Genomic DNA, 17,986 nt, shown 5'->3' on the forward strand with positions numbered 1-17,986 from the left:
AAGAACCAGTGTCTTGAGGACAGAAAAATCAAGATACCTGATTTGTTCCATAGTGCTCCTGCATTGGGCCATAGAGTTAGTGATGGCCTGGAGGTGGTTACAGCCAGCTCTGTTTCTGGTGCCCACTGAGCTTTGCTGGAGCAGCTGGAACAAGTAAGAGTCACACATCTCATGTTGTTATCAATGATCTCCACATTATCAGGTGGTCAAAAGAGGAAGGGATATTAGAGATCCTCCATATAATCACTTAGCCAGTCTTTTTTCCCTTGCGCTCACCCTTTGCCAGCTAACCAGGTGGGTGCAACGTGGTACAGAAAATTATTACATGATGCCTGCACCCCCCAACCCAGGACCAAACATTCTGAGGACAGCTGGATAAAAGCACTAAAGCAAGTATATGTGAAAGAAAAGAGGAAGGACTATAATATAAAGTGGAATGTTGAGAAGAAAAGCTGGAAAATTATTGCATGGGAGGAACTAAGGCCTCATTGTGGTGATGTTTAATCCATGATAAGGATGACAACAGGGAGACATCTCTGCACAAGTATGTGTCAGGGAGAAGCCACCCTTAGTGAAGAGACTCATAGGTGTGAGTTCGGCAGAGGTTAGAAAGTTTGGCTGCAGACAGCCTGAGGAAGATATAAGTAGAGGGATGGAGAATCCTAGGGCCTGGGAGATGAGGTTAGATATCTGCTCCTTTCTGACAACATTGCCCTAAAAGTCAGCACTTTTCAACAACATATAATATCTCATAATTTATGTGGACCAGAATCTGGACACAGTTCAGTTGGGTACCTCTGCCTTTAGGTCTTTTATGACATTGGGACTGTGGTCTTAACTGAAGCTGGACTGGGAAAGCATGAGCCTTTAAGCTGACTCATGTGAAAATTGGCAGGGTTTAGTGTGGCTGGAGAGCCTGACTTTCCTTCTCTCTACTGGTCTGAGCACCCCCTCAGGCTCTGTTATGTTGGTCTTTACATGGAGCATCTCATAGCATTGAAGCTTGCTTCCTGTGTTTGAGGTATACAATAGAGAGAGAGAATTAGACAAAAAGGTGTACACAAAAAGAGACAGAGAAAGATTGAGGGCGCAAACAGGAAAAACCCAGTAGGAGAAAAATGAGAGCTTTAGAAAAATCTTGACAGGGTGCGGTGGCTCACACCTGTAATCCCAACACTTTGGGATGCTGAGACGGGTGGATCACCTGAGGTCAGGGGTTTGAAAGCAGCCTGGACAATATGGTGAAACCACCGTCTCTTCTAAAAGTACAAAATGAGCAAGGTGTGGTGGTGCATGCCTGTAATCCCAGCTACTTGGGAGACTGACGCAGGGGAATCATTTGAACCTGGGAGGCGAAGGTTCCAGCAAGCCGAGATCACACCACTGCACTCCTGCCTGGGATACAAGAGTGAAACTGTCTCAAAAAAAAAAAAAAGGAAACAAAAATCTTGAGAGTTCCAATAATTTTTCTCCTGTATTTATGTTAAAATTGTAACCCCCGTTGTAATGCTATACGGATGAAAGATGTACTTAACTCCTGAGGGTGGGACCTTCATAATAGAGATTACTGGCTTTATACAAGGAACCGCAGAGGGCTCTCTTCCTCCTTCTGCAAAATGATGGTAAAACTTGAAGTCTGCAGTCTGAAATTCAGAAGCGAGTCATCACCAGAGCTCAACCGTGCTGACAACCTGATCTCAAATTTCGAACCTATAGAAGTATGAGAAATTAAGTCCTGTTGTCTATAAGCTGCTTATCTATGGTTCTTTGGCATAGCAGCCTGAACTAATACAAAAGTGATATCCTTTTCTGTATTTCATTGGACAGAAGCTGAATTTGTACCCCTATGCTGTTAAAAAAATGACTTAAAATGGATTTTCAGAATGAAAGATAGGAAATGGCTTGTTGAAACACTAAAATGTTATCTGCTTATAAGATTTTTAAACATTGGCTGAAATTGTTGGAACTGATATGGCCAAATGAAGTCCATGAAGAATCAGATTGCATATGTTAGAGCCCAAATTTCCATTGTGTGTTTCATACTAACTCTCCCTGAATTTGCATGTGACTTGAGAGGAAGCAAGAAGAGATGACAGTATATGTCTCATGACTTTCCATATTCCTACTTTCCTTCCAGCAATCCCTTACAGAACCCACCTCTTAGGCCTTTTCTAATCACTGCCTTAAAGCCAGTATAAGAAAACAAATTTCAGCTGGACTGCTATCTCCTTTTTGGCCAACCTACAACATGATATTTTCCTCAAAACCCAAGGGCCATATTACTGTCATCAGGCTGTAGGCCATTTTATTCAATAAAAAACTGAGTCACTAACCACCTAGTACTGTGAGATTTTGTGAAGAGTTTCCCTGTCATAGACGTGAGAAGGCACATGGATATGATTCTAAATATAAAGAGAAAGCACTAGAAAGTTGAATGGCTGTATTAGGACTTTGTCATACTGCAATGATGAAGTACTTGAGACTGGGTAATTGATAAAGAAAAGAAGTTTAATTGACTCACAGTTCCACATAATTGGGAGGGCACCTCAGAAACCTTCCAATTACAGTGGCTGACAAGTGAAGTGAGTGAGAGCATGGGATGTACCAGATGCTTATGAAACTATCAGATCTCATGAGAACTCACTATCACAAGAACAGCATGAGGAGAACCCATCCCCATAATCCAATCATCTCCCCTCAGGTTTCTCCCTTAACACCTGGGGGTTATAATACACAGAGAAGTTTGGGTGGAACACACAGCTAAACTATATGAATGCCAGAGGACAGTATCTACATTTAATTTCAACTTCATACTGGAGCAGAATGAAAATGAAGCGCAGTGGAGAAGTGACATTCCCAAGATCACCCTGCCAGACCCAGGCTTGTTTGAGTTGTGGCCCATGCTACCTTCTACATATTCTCCTAATGCTTCCATCTCTAAGTGTGTGCATTATCTACAGGTAACACCACATGATTTTTATGTTTTATCTTATATACATCTAATACAATCCCTAGGAAGTAGATGTTAGCATCATCCCCACTGTGCATGCTTGGAGGCTGGGGAAGCCTCAAATACACAGTGACTTTTATTGGGTCCCAGAGATGGTAAGAAAAACAAGGTTATGTTCCAGCTGTCTCTTATATCCTGGAACCCAGGCTGCATTTAGTTCTTTCCAGGGAATTAAGGGGAAGTTGTGTTTGCATACTTGTGTACAAATGAAGAGTTGACATGGAAGAGGAGACTGAGCAATTAGTAGCATAGTGGGGCTTTTGGGTAGGTCTTACAGAAAGAAGGGACCCAGTAGATGGAACCTTGAAGAGTTTAACACACTTTCTTGGTGACAACCCAACATCAGTTAAGAAACCAGGAACCCACATTCTTGAGACAGCTCTGTATCCACCTCTGTTAGTGAGAGATGCTCAAGAGAGTGAGATGTTCTTTCATTGTGCCCTGAAATTTCTGAGTTTTGACTTTACAAAGGCTCAGTGTAAAAGCCTTATCTGAAAACACGGATGTCAACTCAGGCCTCATCATTGATGCCCCTGGCTATTGGCCGGGTGCACCTACAAATAACACAGGGCAGCTCAGGACAGGCCCCAGAGCCAGGCCTCTCTTGTCAACTCATCTGGGAAGTCCCACACCATTTCTTAGTACCATGAGTTGTATGGGGAGCAAGAGGGAGGGCACTCTTCTTTTACTGAAGCAGATTGTCAGGTGTTGGAACCCTTGTGTACCTGTCATGTTCATACCTAGGCCATAGCTGGCAGAATAAAAAGAAGAGGGTTGGAGAACGAGTCTGTGTACTCAGATGTGAATTCCAAGACTTTAACTTGTCCTCTGGTTTCCTTCCTTGCTGGAGATTCATACAGATTCTCCTTATGTGCCTAATCTGAAGAGCAGAATTTCTTTTCTTTTCTTTTCTCTTTTATTTTCTTTCTTTCTTTCTTTCTTTCTTTCTTTCTTTCTTTCTTTCTTTCTTTCTTTCTTTCTTTTTCTTTCTTTCTTTCTTTCTTTCTTTCTTTCTTTCTTCTTTCTTTCTTTCTTTCTTCTTTCTTTCTTTCTTTCTTCTTTCTTTCTTTCTCTTTCTTTCTTTCTTTCTTCTTTTTTTCTCTTTCTTTCTTTCTTTTTCTTTCTTTCTTCTTCCTTACTTCCTTCTGTCTTTCTTTCTCTCTTTTTCTTTTTCTTTTTTCCTTTTTGAGGAAGCCTCGCTCTGTCACCCAGGCTGGAGTGCAGAGAAAAGCAGAATTTCTAGTGGAGGTGTCACATACGGTGAAAACAAGGCAGACCACTGACTTTTCTTTGCGTGGTTTCTAGGCACTTTTTACAGAGCTGCATTCAGATTGATGAGGAGCTTCTTGATGTGGCCAACTCCTCCCTCTTTTTGGAAAAAGACCAGGTGCACTAAGCCAGCAACCACAGCCAGCACCGGGCTGTGGTAAGAGCAGCCACATAGGGGTCTCTACAGACAGAAACCCGAGAAGACCGGGACAGACCCAGTACCCAGACTCCAGTATGAAAACTCTCTGGGCTGTGTCCTATGATCTTCCCATGAGTAACTCATAGTCTTGATCCAGTGGAATCTGGCCTTCATTAGTCTCAGTGGCAAGTTGGTTATGTGGAAAGTCTCTGTTCACTCACTTGGGTGAATAACAGTAAAGACCTTTCTATTGTTTTCACTTTACATTAGGCCATGAGTATTTGTGCCTGTAGCTGCAGTTTGTGTTAGTTTCCTACCCCAGGTATCTCCTGCAGCATGCAGCTTCAGTCCTACCAGACCCTCAAAACTTAAAAGCGAACACTATTTCTAGGGAGGATTTTGCAGGAAAATGGAGAAAGGGTTACACACAAAAAAGGTTAAACTACTCTATGCATGTTTCTGCAATGTGTTATCTCAAGAATTCATCTCTGTAGCCCATCAGGGCAGGAGCTGGTCTCTCACCTGTTGATAATATTCCATAAGGGAGGTTCTTCCCCACAGTGTTTAGTCTTCCGACGCTGGTATAGCCTGACATGATGACATTCTACTTTCATGTTGGTCATGCTGCAGGGAGAATTCTGTGAGTGTCCTAATAGGCTGGAATCACTTGCTAAGGTGAACCCCATCTTTGGTGCTCACTTTTCTGTTATCTTATAATTAGCTTTATTCTAAGCAAATCCATGTCTATTTTATTTATCTGTTTATTAACTTATTTTTATGTATGGAAAAACACATTTTTTTATTTGCTTATTTATTTAGAGACAGGGTCTCCCTCTGTCATCCAGGCTGGAATACAGTGGTAGATTGGAGTGATCATGGCTCATTGCAGCCTCAAACTCTTGAGCTCAAATGATTCTCTCACCTCAGCCTCCTGTGCCACCATGCCCTGCTAGTTGATTTTAATTTGTTATAAAGAAAGTGTCTCATTATGCTGCCCAGGCTGGTCTCAAACTCCTGGGCCCAAGCAATTCTCTCATCTCAGCCTCCCAAAGCACTAGGATTAAAAACATGAGCCACTGTACTGCGCTGTGCCTACTTCAAAGGACTGAAAATAAAAAATAAATAAATCTTTGCCAAATTAAAAAACAAAGCAATAGTTTCCAGGTCTTAGATAAAGACAATTCTCTGTCATGAAGAATGACAGAAGGCTTATTTAGCTGTTAAAATGATTTGCTTATATTTCAAAGAAGCAGAGAAAAAAAGGTACATGTAAAAGTGTTCCAGGCCACTCATGGTGGTTCATGCCTGTAATCTGAACATTTGGGGAGGCCAAGGCATGAGGATACCTTCAAGCCAAATGTTTGAGTCCAGTACAGGCAATATGGTGAAATTCTGTCACTACAAAAAAATAAAATAAATATGGCTGGGCATGTTGGCTCACACCTGTAATCCCAGCACTTTGGGAGTCTGAGGCAGGTGGATAATGAGGTCAGGGGGTGGAGACCAGCCTGGCCAAAATGGTAAAACCCATTCTCTACTAAAAATAATAATAACAAAAAATTAGCCAGACATGGTGGTGTGCGCCTGTAATCCCAGCTACTCAAAAGGCTGAGACAGGAGAATTGCTTGAATCTGGGAGGTGGAGGTTGCATTGAGACAAGATCATGGCACTACACTCCAGCCTAGCCCACAGAGCAAGACACTGTCTTGAAAAAAAATAAAAACAAAAATAAATAAAGCTAGCCAGGCATGGTGGTTCATGCCTATAGTCCTAGGTAATTAAGCGGTTGATGCAGGAGGACTGCTCAAACCCAAGAGGTTAAGGTTACCGTGAGCTATGATTATGCCGTTGCACTTCAGGCTAAGTAAAAGAGTAAGATTCTGCCTCAAAAAATTACTAATTAAAGTTTTCCAGATTACATTGTTTAAGAAAAAGGAAAAGAAAAAAATCTTTTTTTTATTTTCAAATGGGAGAATAGAGCCTCTCATTTCTAATTTGTATTGCCTTCTGCAAAAACTTAGTCTAGGCCCATGGTCTTGAACTACTGGACATCTGAATTTTGGTAGGTGCTGGATTCAGGCAACTGAGGGGTGGCCTTGGGCACACTGTGTGCACATAAAAGAAAGGGTTTGAGGTGAACTAAAAGGTAAAAGAGGGGAAGGTGCTATTAAGAAACCAGAAGTGAGAGACTGTACAGGGTTGGTGGGAGGACTGGTTCATGCTACAGACACTGACCCAGGTGAAACTTTTCTCTGAGTTATTTCTATGTTCATGCAGGAAGACGAGATTATGATCAGGTGGCACAGAAATCTGCGATGGTGAAAAAACCAGGTTGCCACTGCAGATTCGGTGTCTGAAGTAGAACATATGCCAGGGGTCTTGTAGGCACGTGTGTGGGTTTTTGGTGGGAAAGTCTATGAGGAAAGGTAGGATGGGCAACAATCTTGATGCCAAAGCCTTGTCCTGAGAGGGGCTTGACCACGTCAACATGCAGTGTGTATGTTCAGTGGGTGAAAAACATGTGGTGGCCTCAGGTTGGCAGGAGGGTAGAAGGCATCTGTTCTCAGAACTTCTTCCCTCAGAGTCGTCGGTCCTTCTTACCATGGGAGGATGCCTGGAACCACAGGGCAGTGCATGGCGTAGCAGCCTGTGTGCAGAGCAGAGCCTACCTTCCCCGAGACACCTGGAGTCTCTCTCCAGCAAAGGCCCCCACATTGTCTTTCTCCTTACAACACTTTTGATCCTAAATGTGTAAAGTTCCCTGAAAACCCACTGCTTCTCCAACACCCATTTCTTGCCCCAAAATTTAATTCTGACACAACTTAGAGTTCGCACAGATCCCACAAATTCAGGGCTAAGTCCCACATCACCCCTCTCACTGCAGAGGTTAGTCACATGTCCCATAAGCCCATCTATACTTCTGAGCTACTGCCTATAAATCTGAGACTCCCATAAACCCCTTTTCAAGTTAAATAATTTGATAGAGTTACTCAAAAAAACTCAACAAATAAGTCTAATTATATTTACCACTTTATTATAAAAATACAACTCAGAAACTGACAAATGAAAGAGATGTCTAGGAAAAGGAACAGTTGTGGGTGAAGGTAATCCTGGAAATAGCTATATTTAAAGAAATTCCCCCATTCTTTGTGTTCTCAAAGAACAGCTTAGTGAAGAGAAACGTGCTTCCCATTATGACTTTGTGGATGTTCCCCCCCCCCCTTTTTTTTAACCTATCACAAAGACGGACACAGATTACAAATTCCTATTTTTAAAAATGAACAACCATTCTGTAATTTAGTCTTCAGTGGTCAAAACAGAGTACTTGTTAACAAAACTTTGCTTGTTCCCCTTCTTCCCTCAGCCCCTGAACTTTGACTCACCCACAGCCTCAGAGAACCTACAACCCATATTTATACATATCCCTCCTAAGAACAGGCTGACTTCAAGATGAAACATTATCTTATCTGGGATCTGATTTTGCTACCCTCCATCCTGTGCTTCCTTTCCAACCTTCTTTGTAAACTTATTTTCTCCTCCCTATGAAATAAAACCCTTTTCCACCTAACCTTTGAGATCCTCAAAGATCTAATCATTTGTACTTTTTCCTTGTTACAACACTTCTTAAGTAACTTCTTAGACAAAGTCTATAAACAGTCTCAGGACAATAAAAACTCCATTCTAGAAAGAATATCCCAACTTTTCTTCAATCTCAACCCCAACTGCATCTGCCTGTCAACTTCCAGCTTACCAAAGCTCTGTATCTTCTGACAGTGACAAAGGCTCCTTCTATGGTTGGTGTGAGCAGACTTTGATGTCTGCAGGGCAGACACCCAGGAATAATCAACTGGGCCTTCAGTGGCCCCCTTTTGCAGGGTCAACGTTAGCCTTAGCTTTTAGTCAACGGTCTAAGACTTCTACTTACCAGTTAAAGTCATTCAATTAGTTTTCAATTTAAAAAATACTTCATGTTTGAAGAATCCAGCAAAAATCATTCAAATCTAAGGTTTAAAAGAGAGGAAATTATGGTCGGGCATGGTGGCTCATGCCTGTAATCCCTGCATTTTGGGAGGCTGAGGCGGGCAGATTACCTGAGGTCAGGAGTTCGAGACCAGCCTCACTAACATGAAGAAACACAGTCTCTACTAAAAATACAAACTTAAACGGGGGTGGTCGTGTATTCCTGTAATCTCAGTTACTTGGGAGGCCGAGGCAGGAGAATTGCTTGAACCCGGGAGGTGGAGGTTACAGCGAGCCAATATCGTGCCATTGCACTCCAGACTGGGCAACAAGAGTGACACTAAGTCTAAAAAATAAAATTAAAATTAAAAAAGAAAGTTATAAGGGGCTTACATTTTATAACTCAACAAGAAAAGCCAAAGTATCTATCCCTTTCAGAAAATAAACATGTAATTTAATTATGTTCATAACAAATCATTTAGTAAACAATCATATGTGAACACTTCCAGGCGGTGCCAAGTCCCAGCTCCTAAAACTTAGCGTTACCCTCAAACACCCAGATGACAGCATATGGAACAGAGATACTCACTATCAGAAGTTCTCTGTTTTGAAAAAAGAATAACTGATGTGATAAATTTATGTAATTTAACAATTAATCTACCTCACGTGCTTGTAGGTATGTATTCATTTCCTACCACCGTAGTGGAAGAGAGACTATCCCTATCAATACACCTGGTAACATTCCCAACAGTAAGCCGTGAGATTCTGCTTGAAATCACCTCTCAGACAAATAAAAAACAGTCCTGGGAAATGTACGACACTCATTCTGCTAAAGAAATAGGCAAGTAACAATTTTTAACAAGTGAAATATATTACTACTTAATTTTATTCAAAATTCACCAACTTAATGTGCTTTATAAATATTTTCATGCCTTTCAAGCTCTACTGATAAAACATAGTTTACAGTTAATTAAAAAGTGAAGTTAAAGTAAGTACAAAAACATTTTCAAGGTGACAAAATTAGAAGGTGACAGTGCCGATTGAAACACAGACATATCAGACCCAAGGGTCAAGTCAAGCCATTCTATTACTTGGGATATTTTCCCCACTCACATCTGGTTCAGTGAAGTGGGTCATGACCATCCTACCAGGAGCCGCTACCCTGTGCTCCTCTGTGTCCCTGAGGTGCATTTTACTTTGCAGGTTTTTGCACTGCCTCACTAGGTTGGGTTTCTTTGTCCTTTGAAATATTTTCTCTCCCTTCACCAATCTGAGAACATTTTTTCCTCAATATCAGCATCCATTTGCCTGGCCTGCAATGTGTCTCTAAGGAATGGAAACTAAGCTTTGGGGTAAGAAAATCTTAATGACCTAATGGGTTTGCTTTTAGCGCAAGGGTATACCTAGAGATTCCTTCCAGGCACATCTCAAACAACCACTCCACAGAGAGGCTGCATTCCCATACCTTGGGCTGTTCCCTGAGAGGAGATGACACAAGGGATGCTATTTACTAGACACTTCAAGAGTCATGGCCACTGTTGGCATCTTGGGGAATCCTCAAACAGTTTTGAAATTCAAAACCAAGAAAATAACAGGATGGCTGAGGATGTATTGCCCTGTGAAGTTTCCAAAATGAAACCTGAACCCAAAGGCTTTCTGATGGGGTGTCTGTGCCAAGAGAAGTTTAAACAAAGGGGCACAAAGGTTTTCCGCTTTTTATTTATTTTTTTTACAGTGGGGTGTCAGGGGATTATTCTCTGCTTTCATCTCCTGTAAAATGTTTACAAATGAGAAAAAATTTTTTTAAATGACATCCACTGCTTTTTGACAAAAAGAAGAATTGAAATACTGTGTCTGAAATATACAATAAAGAACAGTTGATAATGTTGTGAATTATGGAAGGTTAGTTAGTGTTGGTGAGTGTCAGGAAAGAACTGGAAATTTAAAATCTGATTGCAAGCCAGAGTTAGGCTGGGGCAACAGGGAGTTAGATTTGAGTCTCTGCCTGCCACACATTTGGAAAATGCATGAGAAAACTAGTTCCCTTTTGGAGTGTTAAAATAACTAAAAAACAGGTGATTATGTTGAGGTGGCTCTAGTGTCCTGAGCTCTGAGTGGAGAGACAGGCCAAGGCCTCCGTACTTCCAAAAAGCTGCCCATTCTTCTCCAGCTGTGCACCTGATTAGATAGTTTCCACTCCAAGACCCATGATTGGATGTAGTTCAATTCCCTACCCTGCCGCCTCAGACCATGAGTGACATATGTGATTTGACACTGGGTTGAATAAAGCAAGAATTATAGGTTTTTCCTGGATCCTTTTCTGGCAGGGCTTCCTCTGTGAACTAGAAACTGGCCCTGCCTGTAAAATATTTGCATTTACATTTGTATGTAAGATTATTTGTATTAATGAATAATATATATGTGTTATTCATATATGGAATCAATATAATGACAATTGTTTTAAAATTTCAGATGTTTTACTTTCCTGGCACATCCAGGTTTTAGAGCAGGCAGCCTGAGATTTCAAAAGGGAGGCAATTCTCTAAGAAATAATATGAGAGGCACAAGTGAATTTTAAATATTCTGGTAACTACTTTTTAATAAATATACCGGGCATGCTTCCCTGTGCCTGTAGGTCGAACTATTAGGGAGACTGAGGTGGGAGGATCACTTGAGACCAGGAGTTTGAGACCAGCCCAGGCAGCATAGAGAAAGCCATCTCTACAAAAAAAAAAAAAAAAAAAAAAAAAAAAATTTGAAAAATTAGCCAGGCCTGGTGGTGCATGACTTCAGTCCCAGCTACTCAGAAGGCTGGAGCTGGAGGATCACCTGAGCCTGGGAGGTCAAGGCTGCAATGAACCATGATCACACAACTGTACTCCAGCCTGGCTGACAGAGCAAAACCCTGTCTCAAAAAACTGATCTCTGGAAAGGCAATTTGTTTTTCTGCAATGTAGCCAAGCAGCTAAGTATGTATTGAAGCCATCCTTTAATTTTTAACAGGGCAAGAAAGCTTTCTAAGACCCCGAACTCCAGATATGCGATGGGGCAAATCCTGAAGCGTACATGGCTATCTCTCACAGCTAAAGCATCCCTCACCCCTATCCAGCGCTTCTTACCCCTGGCGCAAGAGAATCACCTGCGGGGAGGAAAACTTTCAAAATCCCTTAAACCCAAGTTGTAACCGCACAACTAAATCAGAATCCTTGGAGCTGGATCTGAAAAAAATATGGTTGAAAGTCGTGCAGGTGATTACAATGTGTAGGCAAGCCAGAAAACCATGGCTTTAACGAGCAGCTTTTGTTAGAAATGATTTCTCCAATGAATGTGAAAACGTTTGCTGCTGAATTGTGACCTTTCCATTTTACCTGCTTTTCCTGCAAAGTATATTTTGCAGACCCAGGCTGGCTTCTCCTTCTGTTCCTGGTTCACCCAGTGCCGTGTGTGCTCAGTGCATCCTGTGCACGGGTCACTGTGTGCCCTGGCCTGGGTGAGCATCATTCTTCGGGGAGAACCTTGATGAAAACAAAGCTGCATTCCAAAAAGTTAAAACCATGCTACTTACTGTGTTGAAGTAAAAATTAAAAGACCCAGGGGGGCTCACCCAAAAGTTAAAACATAAATAAATAACTTGGAACATTAACATACACCTGATGATGTCCTGAGTGAACACGCCCCACTTGAAAACAAAACAAAACATTGCTATTATTCTAAAATATTAATTTAGGATTGTTATGCAAACATGCACTCTTTACATTTTTATTGATAAATAACATGCATACAGCAATATAGGCACAAAGCATTTAGGGAATGTTTGATGAATTATTACTAAATAAATACACTTGTGTATCTAAGAATCAGATTTGTTCATGCCCCTGACACTTTCCCCTTCCCAAAGGTAACCAAGACCTTAAGAGCTAAGTGTAGATAAACTTTGTCATTTTGTACAAGTGTTTTATTACAGATCACTAAAAACATACACAATACAAAAAAAGTATAACAGACCAGTCACCCAGCTTTAACAGCTGCTAGTCATGTGTCATTTTTGTTTTATCTATACTTCCAGCCATGCCCCCACCCCCAATTTCATTATTTTTTAGGCTTTTTGGATAAAATGTATATTCATTGCAAGGTACAATGCGAACTGTAAATAGTAGAGAGATGGGGTTTTACCATGTTGGTCAGGCTGTTCTTGAACTCCTGACCTCAGGTGATCCACTCTCTTCCACCTCGCAAAGTGCTGGGATTACAGGCGTGAGCCAATATACTCGGCCTGAGAATTCATATTTCTAATAAAGTACAAATCCATAGGGCACATGACAACTGCAATGTCTATCTACAGTAAAAACAGTTTGATGAATAAAATGAAAGGCAATTGACTTAAGGTGGGAAAAAAACAATCAAAGCATGGGTACTATGTGCCATCTGTAGGAGCATTTGGTTAAGAATAACAAACAAACCAGTTTTATTGTTTTAATAACCGAAATTGGCAAAATTTCTAGTTTTTCTTTCATAGGAATGCTCTTAGCAAGAAAAAATTTTCATATGGTGAGAGCAAAAATGACAACCATTTGCAAGTAAATGTCTTATGAAATTAAGTAGCAGATATCAAGCTCATGACCTTCAGATTGTTACCCCTAACTCAATCATTTACATAGCAAGTGCAGATAATTTTCATAGTTCCCCATTAAAATTATACTTTACTCCCCTTACAAATTGTGACTGTTTTTAAATAAAGTTCACTAACTAAAATTTTGTATATGACATATGATAAATTTCCCTTCAAGTCACCTTATATTTACTTAATTGTGTTAGCCAGTGTCTGTCTACCTCCCAACAATACTTTGGGATTCTCCCTCCATTTGCACAGGCATCATAGCTGGGGAACAGGGATTCAAAAGACCCAGGCTGTTCCCTACATATGTTTCCTCCTCAGACATCAGTTAATCAGTCAATCAAGTCAAGTGAGAGTGGAGGCCATGTATTCCCTCTTATTCTTGGGCACTCTCCTCCAAGGAGGAAAAGGCCAGGAGGTCCTGTTAGAGGATGCACTCTGAGAGCCCGGGCTCCCTAAGGTATGAGAGTTCTAACCAGCAGGTGTAGACTTTTCAGGAGTGAGGAATGAGGCAGGCATTCCAAACCTGGAGCTTCATCACCTTTTGTTTCATCTCAAGACAATTCTGAGGGGCTGTTTTGGAGCGTGTCTGGAAGGTGAACGTTGAAGAAGAGTGTGGGCTTTGATGTGACTCAGATGAGATCTTTCATGGGGAGGCAGGAATTCAATGCCCAGAATCTGGGCTGGTGTCTTTGAGGTCAGTAGGTTGCCTCTTTGTATCCAAGTCCATTGTTACTAAATTGGAGGCTGGAGATTCTAAATGGCTTCCAGACCATCTCTCTGATTCTCTTTGGGAGATTGGGTCTGAAAAAGACAATGTCAGTATTTTTGGGAAATTCTAGAAAGTCTGCTTGGAAACCTGGGAAGACCTCTTGCCTAGTGCCTAAATATTCAATGTGCAGCTCTAGCCATGTAGATGCTTGGTAGGTATAGAGCTGGGTTTTCATTTATATCAGCAAAACCTATGTCAGAGTTGAAGAAGTAGTCAAGACAAAGTGTCTTGGTCGCAGGCCGGGGAACATCTTAAAAGCAAACTTCTAGCCTGATGACTCTTGGCAATGAGTGTTGGGTCCTGGCTAAAGTGCCTTGAATGCAGCATGAGGCCAATCCATGAATCCAACTTCCAATGGAGAAATGTTAATATTTTTTCAGTTTGAATCAATCAGGGTGAAATTACCTTGCTATTGGTTTGCTTACTTTTTATTATTTCATATAAAATCTAAGACAAAATACATTAAATGCTTATTGATATATGTATTTATTCTTCACCTGGCTCATAATATTTGCCTAATTTTAAACTTTCTTCTATTTTGTAGGTTTCAACTTATTTCATTGTAAGATATTGTTAAATCTAATACGGGCATTGTCACTTTTACAAATAATTTTATTTTATTTCATGTATTTCCTATTCACTTTTTACATTTAAATTATGGACCATTTCATCATATAAAAAGCTCCATTTCTATTTTAAAAATAAGTCTTTGGGTTTTTTTGTCTTGTAATTTCCATATTACATAGTAATGAGATAAACGTTAATGTTTTCAGGGTATTTTAAATTTTAAATAATTACTCATTATATCCACGTGAAATTTGTTTTTACTGCATGTGTGAGTTGGAGAACCGTTTTCACTTCTGACTCATCTTTACTGTGATCTCCTCAGAACTCATACCTCTTGTAGTTGGGAGATTGCAGTATATAATTCCAATAAATGGGGCAAATTCAATAATAACATAATACAAATGAGTTTGAAAGCAGGACATGTCTTCAAAGCATACACAACATGGGCCTATATATGTACAACAATAATAATTTATAAGTTACAGTTTGGATGGGAATTAAAAGTACAGAAAATTTGTTAAAATAAATTAAAATGGAGATCACGTCTCAATAATCTCTGAGCAGACGAAATTAGTTAGGTCTCATAAGTGATCTCAACCTTGCTTGATTTGCAAATACAAGCAAAACTTAAATATTTCTTGTAGCTGCCTATTTAAAAAAGAGAAATGAAGCTCAACCAATCAGGAGTAGCCAACATCCTTATATAAATAGAAACTGTCCAACAAGATAAACAGACGAACAAAAAACAATAAAAAAGTTGTGCTACCACCAATCAAATGATTTTTTTGTTTCTACATTTTTTCAATAAATACTTGCTTCTTACTCTGTCAGAGAAGCACTAAATAACTTTTGGTCTGATATTTTATAATTTATCAATTGCTCTTACTCAAATAGACACTTGGCAATTTCATTGTGTCTCAAATTACTTTTTAGCAGAATAAAATAAACTAGGAATAAACATTACAAAAATGTGTACAGAATATGAGAAAAACATAGAAAGTTTATGAAATATATGAATGTAGACATAAGCAAATAGACAATTTGTATCATATTCTTAGGCAGCAAATCTCAATATTATCAACATCAATTGTCCTTAAGTTTATTTATAAATTCAATTTTGTTCCTATACAGATACCATTAAATATTGGAAGTACACGTTACTATAAAATATTATATAGATGAAAACACACATAAGAATAGACAAGAAAACTCTGAAAAAAAAGCAAAAAACAAGACTGGCAAGCTCTGTGAAAAATCTTGATTGATTAAAAACTCATATGTCACTGAAACTAAAAATTCAGAAATAGACCAAAGTGCCTAAGAAAGTGTCATAGTGCATCCAGGCTGCTATAACAAAATACCTCAGACTGGGTAAAGGATAAACAACAGAAATGTATTTTTCACAGTTATGGAGTCTGGAAAGTGCAAGATCAAGGCAGCAGAAAATTTAGTATATGTTGAGAGCCCTGTTCCCCATAGATGGTACCATCTTGCACACGGGACAAGGGCATTGCCTTCAACTTCCCTTGAAAGAGCACTGATTCCATTCATGAAGATGAAGAACTCTTGGCCTCACCACTTCCCCAAAGGCCACACGCCTAAAATTATCCACATAGGAATTTGCAAAGGGACATAAACATTCAGGCCATCGCAACAAAAACTACATGGGGGATGGCATCATTAATACTTGAGGTGTAAAAATGTGATGTTCTTATCGCAAAGGAAATAAATGATTTATTCTTCATGGCATATAACAAAATAAAGGTCCAAAGAAAATATTTTTTATGAAGATAAATCTATATGGTAAAAAACTAAGTGTTGATAAGGTTAACCCTACAGGTTGCATCAGGATTTTCAAGGTTTCTGGTGATGAGCAAGGCCCCAGAGTTTCCTCCTGTGACATTTACCTGGAAGTTGCTCATGCTGTTATTCAATTTGAAAGTAGATAATATTGTTTGTTTCTGTTCCAATATTTACTAAATTCAAAATAATATAGGGCTCTTTATGCGTAATTGTCAAACAGTCATTCAGTCAATGGTCCTCTGCTGAGGAAGAGCACAGATACATCCAAACACATATGATGTTCCTCAAATAGAGGACTTCTCCCTGTGCGGGAGTCACCTATGTTGCACTTGATCAGAGGCTTTCCCAGGCGAGCATTTCTCTGCAGCCCTACCACAGACTTAACCCTGGAAATCTGACTCAGAAGGTGATAGATGAACACCCAACCTAGCATTCTAATCTAATGGATCCTCTCTTAATAATCCCTTCCAGGGATCTGGGAGCTTTCCTGGATTCGTCTGCCACACACAGCTAGGCTAAAACATTTGGATAGAAGCTTTGATCCTCACTGGCCCTCCTGCCCTGTTCTACCAGCTTCTCTAGAAGTATGCTTCTCTAATTGATCCTGAGAGACCCATCTAAGGCTATCTCTCTGTGCCAATATAATTGATCTCATAAAGTGGGAAGAGAAACAGGCAAGAGTCCAGCTATGCTAGAAGCTGTGTCTAGGGTTCCTTATCTGCTTTATGTCTCTGATTTACCTAAATATTGACAAATACAGATTAATCTCTAGGTAGTAGAAAAACAGAAGGAGAAATCGCAGTTCACAGAAGAAGAAGAAAATGCAATCAGTAATTCCTAGAGTCCCGCTTAAGCTCAGCCACAGGGTACTAAGTCTCTTCAGGAAAAAGCAATGGTTGTCCATCATCTGAAAAACTGTGGCGTTGAACCATGGGCACCGAGAGTGCACACTGCCCACTAGAGTTCCATGCCTACATCACAGAGAGATAGAATAGTCTCAAAGGATTCTTAAGAGTAACGTGGAGACCAAAAGGAGCTGAATCCACAGCCTCTGTCTTACCGTCTGTTCTAATAGTATTTCCAGACTCTTTTGTGGGCTGCACCAGGGGTTATTCAGAAAGAAAAAAAGTTGTTAATGTCCCACCATTCCCCGTAGCTTCCGAGGTCTAAGTTGTTCATTTCCCACGTTCCAGGTTGTTGTTCTCCCTCTATCTCCACAGAATCAGTGTGTCTCATTCCGATATCTATAATCTCACCTTTATTCTAGTCGCCCTTTACTTTTTTCTAGACATTTTGTGTAGTAGAGCCAGGTAAAACAGATACAAGAATATTTACATAAAACTTAACCAGAACTAAGTTGGAGTCCCATAACTGCTGCTAGGCTGGGATGCAACTCAGAGGATACAAAAGCCAGGCTGGTCTAGAATTGCAGGTATGGGAAAGAAAGACATTTCACCCAGGAATTATTAGCACGAAATTCCAAATTTGTGAAATAGATTCCTAGATCCCCCAAACATTTCATCCTTATCTTGGAGGCAATCTGGAAGAGATAATCCCCTTTCAGAGAAAAGCATACCTAATCAACGAATTATCTAACCAACATGTGTGGAAAAGGAGGGAACATCGTAGAGTTGGCCCATTTTAGTCGATGTGGTGAAAAATGCCACGAAGTCAGAGCTCAATTGGCCTCAAAAGCCTAAAAGGTGGCACAGATTAGCTTCAAGGGACACATGGTATGGCTGGAGTCAGATGACTGTTATGCTGAAGAAGTCAACAGTGGTTACTGATATCTCAAGAAGTGGGCTAAAAGTCCACTTCTGGTTACTCTGCTAGGTATGGTCTAGGAATTC

At 40.2% G+C, this 17,986-nt stretch overlaps 1 long non-coding RNA gene across 2 annotated transcripts in view; it reads left to right on the forward strand.

The window, feature by feature from the left end:
- LOC124905312 (uncharacterized) overlaps positions 1-8,517 on the forward strand; it is a 35,497-nt gene extending 26,980 nt beyond the window's left edge. For both annotated transcript variants that reach the window (XR_007068502.1, XR_007068505.1), the window contains exon 4: positions 7,784-8,517. This is a non-coding gene — a long non-coding RNA (uncharacterized LOC124905312). The remainder of the gene's footprint in view (positions 1-7,783) is intronic.
- The last annotated feature ends 9,469 nt before the right edge of the window (positions 8,518-17,986 follow it).

Source organism: Homo sapiens, unplaced genomic scaffold, assembly GCF_000001405.40.
Source record: "Homo sapiens unplaced genomic scaffold, GRCh38.p14 Primary Assembly HSCHRUN_RANDOM_CTG1".
Classification (NCBI taxonomy): domain Eukaryota; kingdom Metazoa; phylum Chordata; class Mammalia; order Primates; family Hominidae; genus Homo; species Homo sapiens.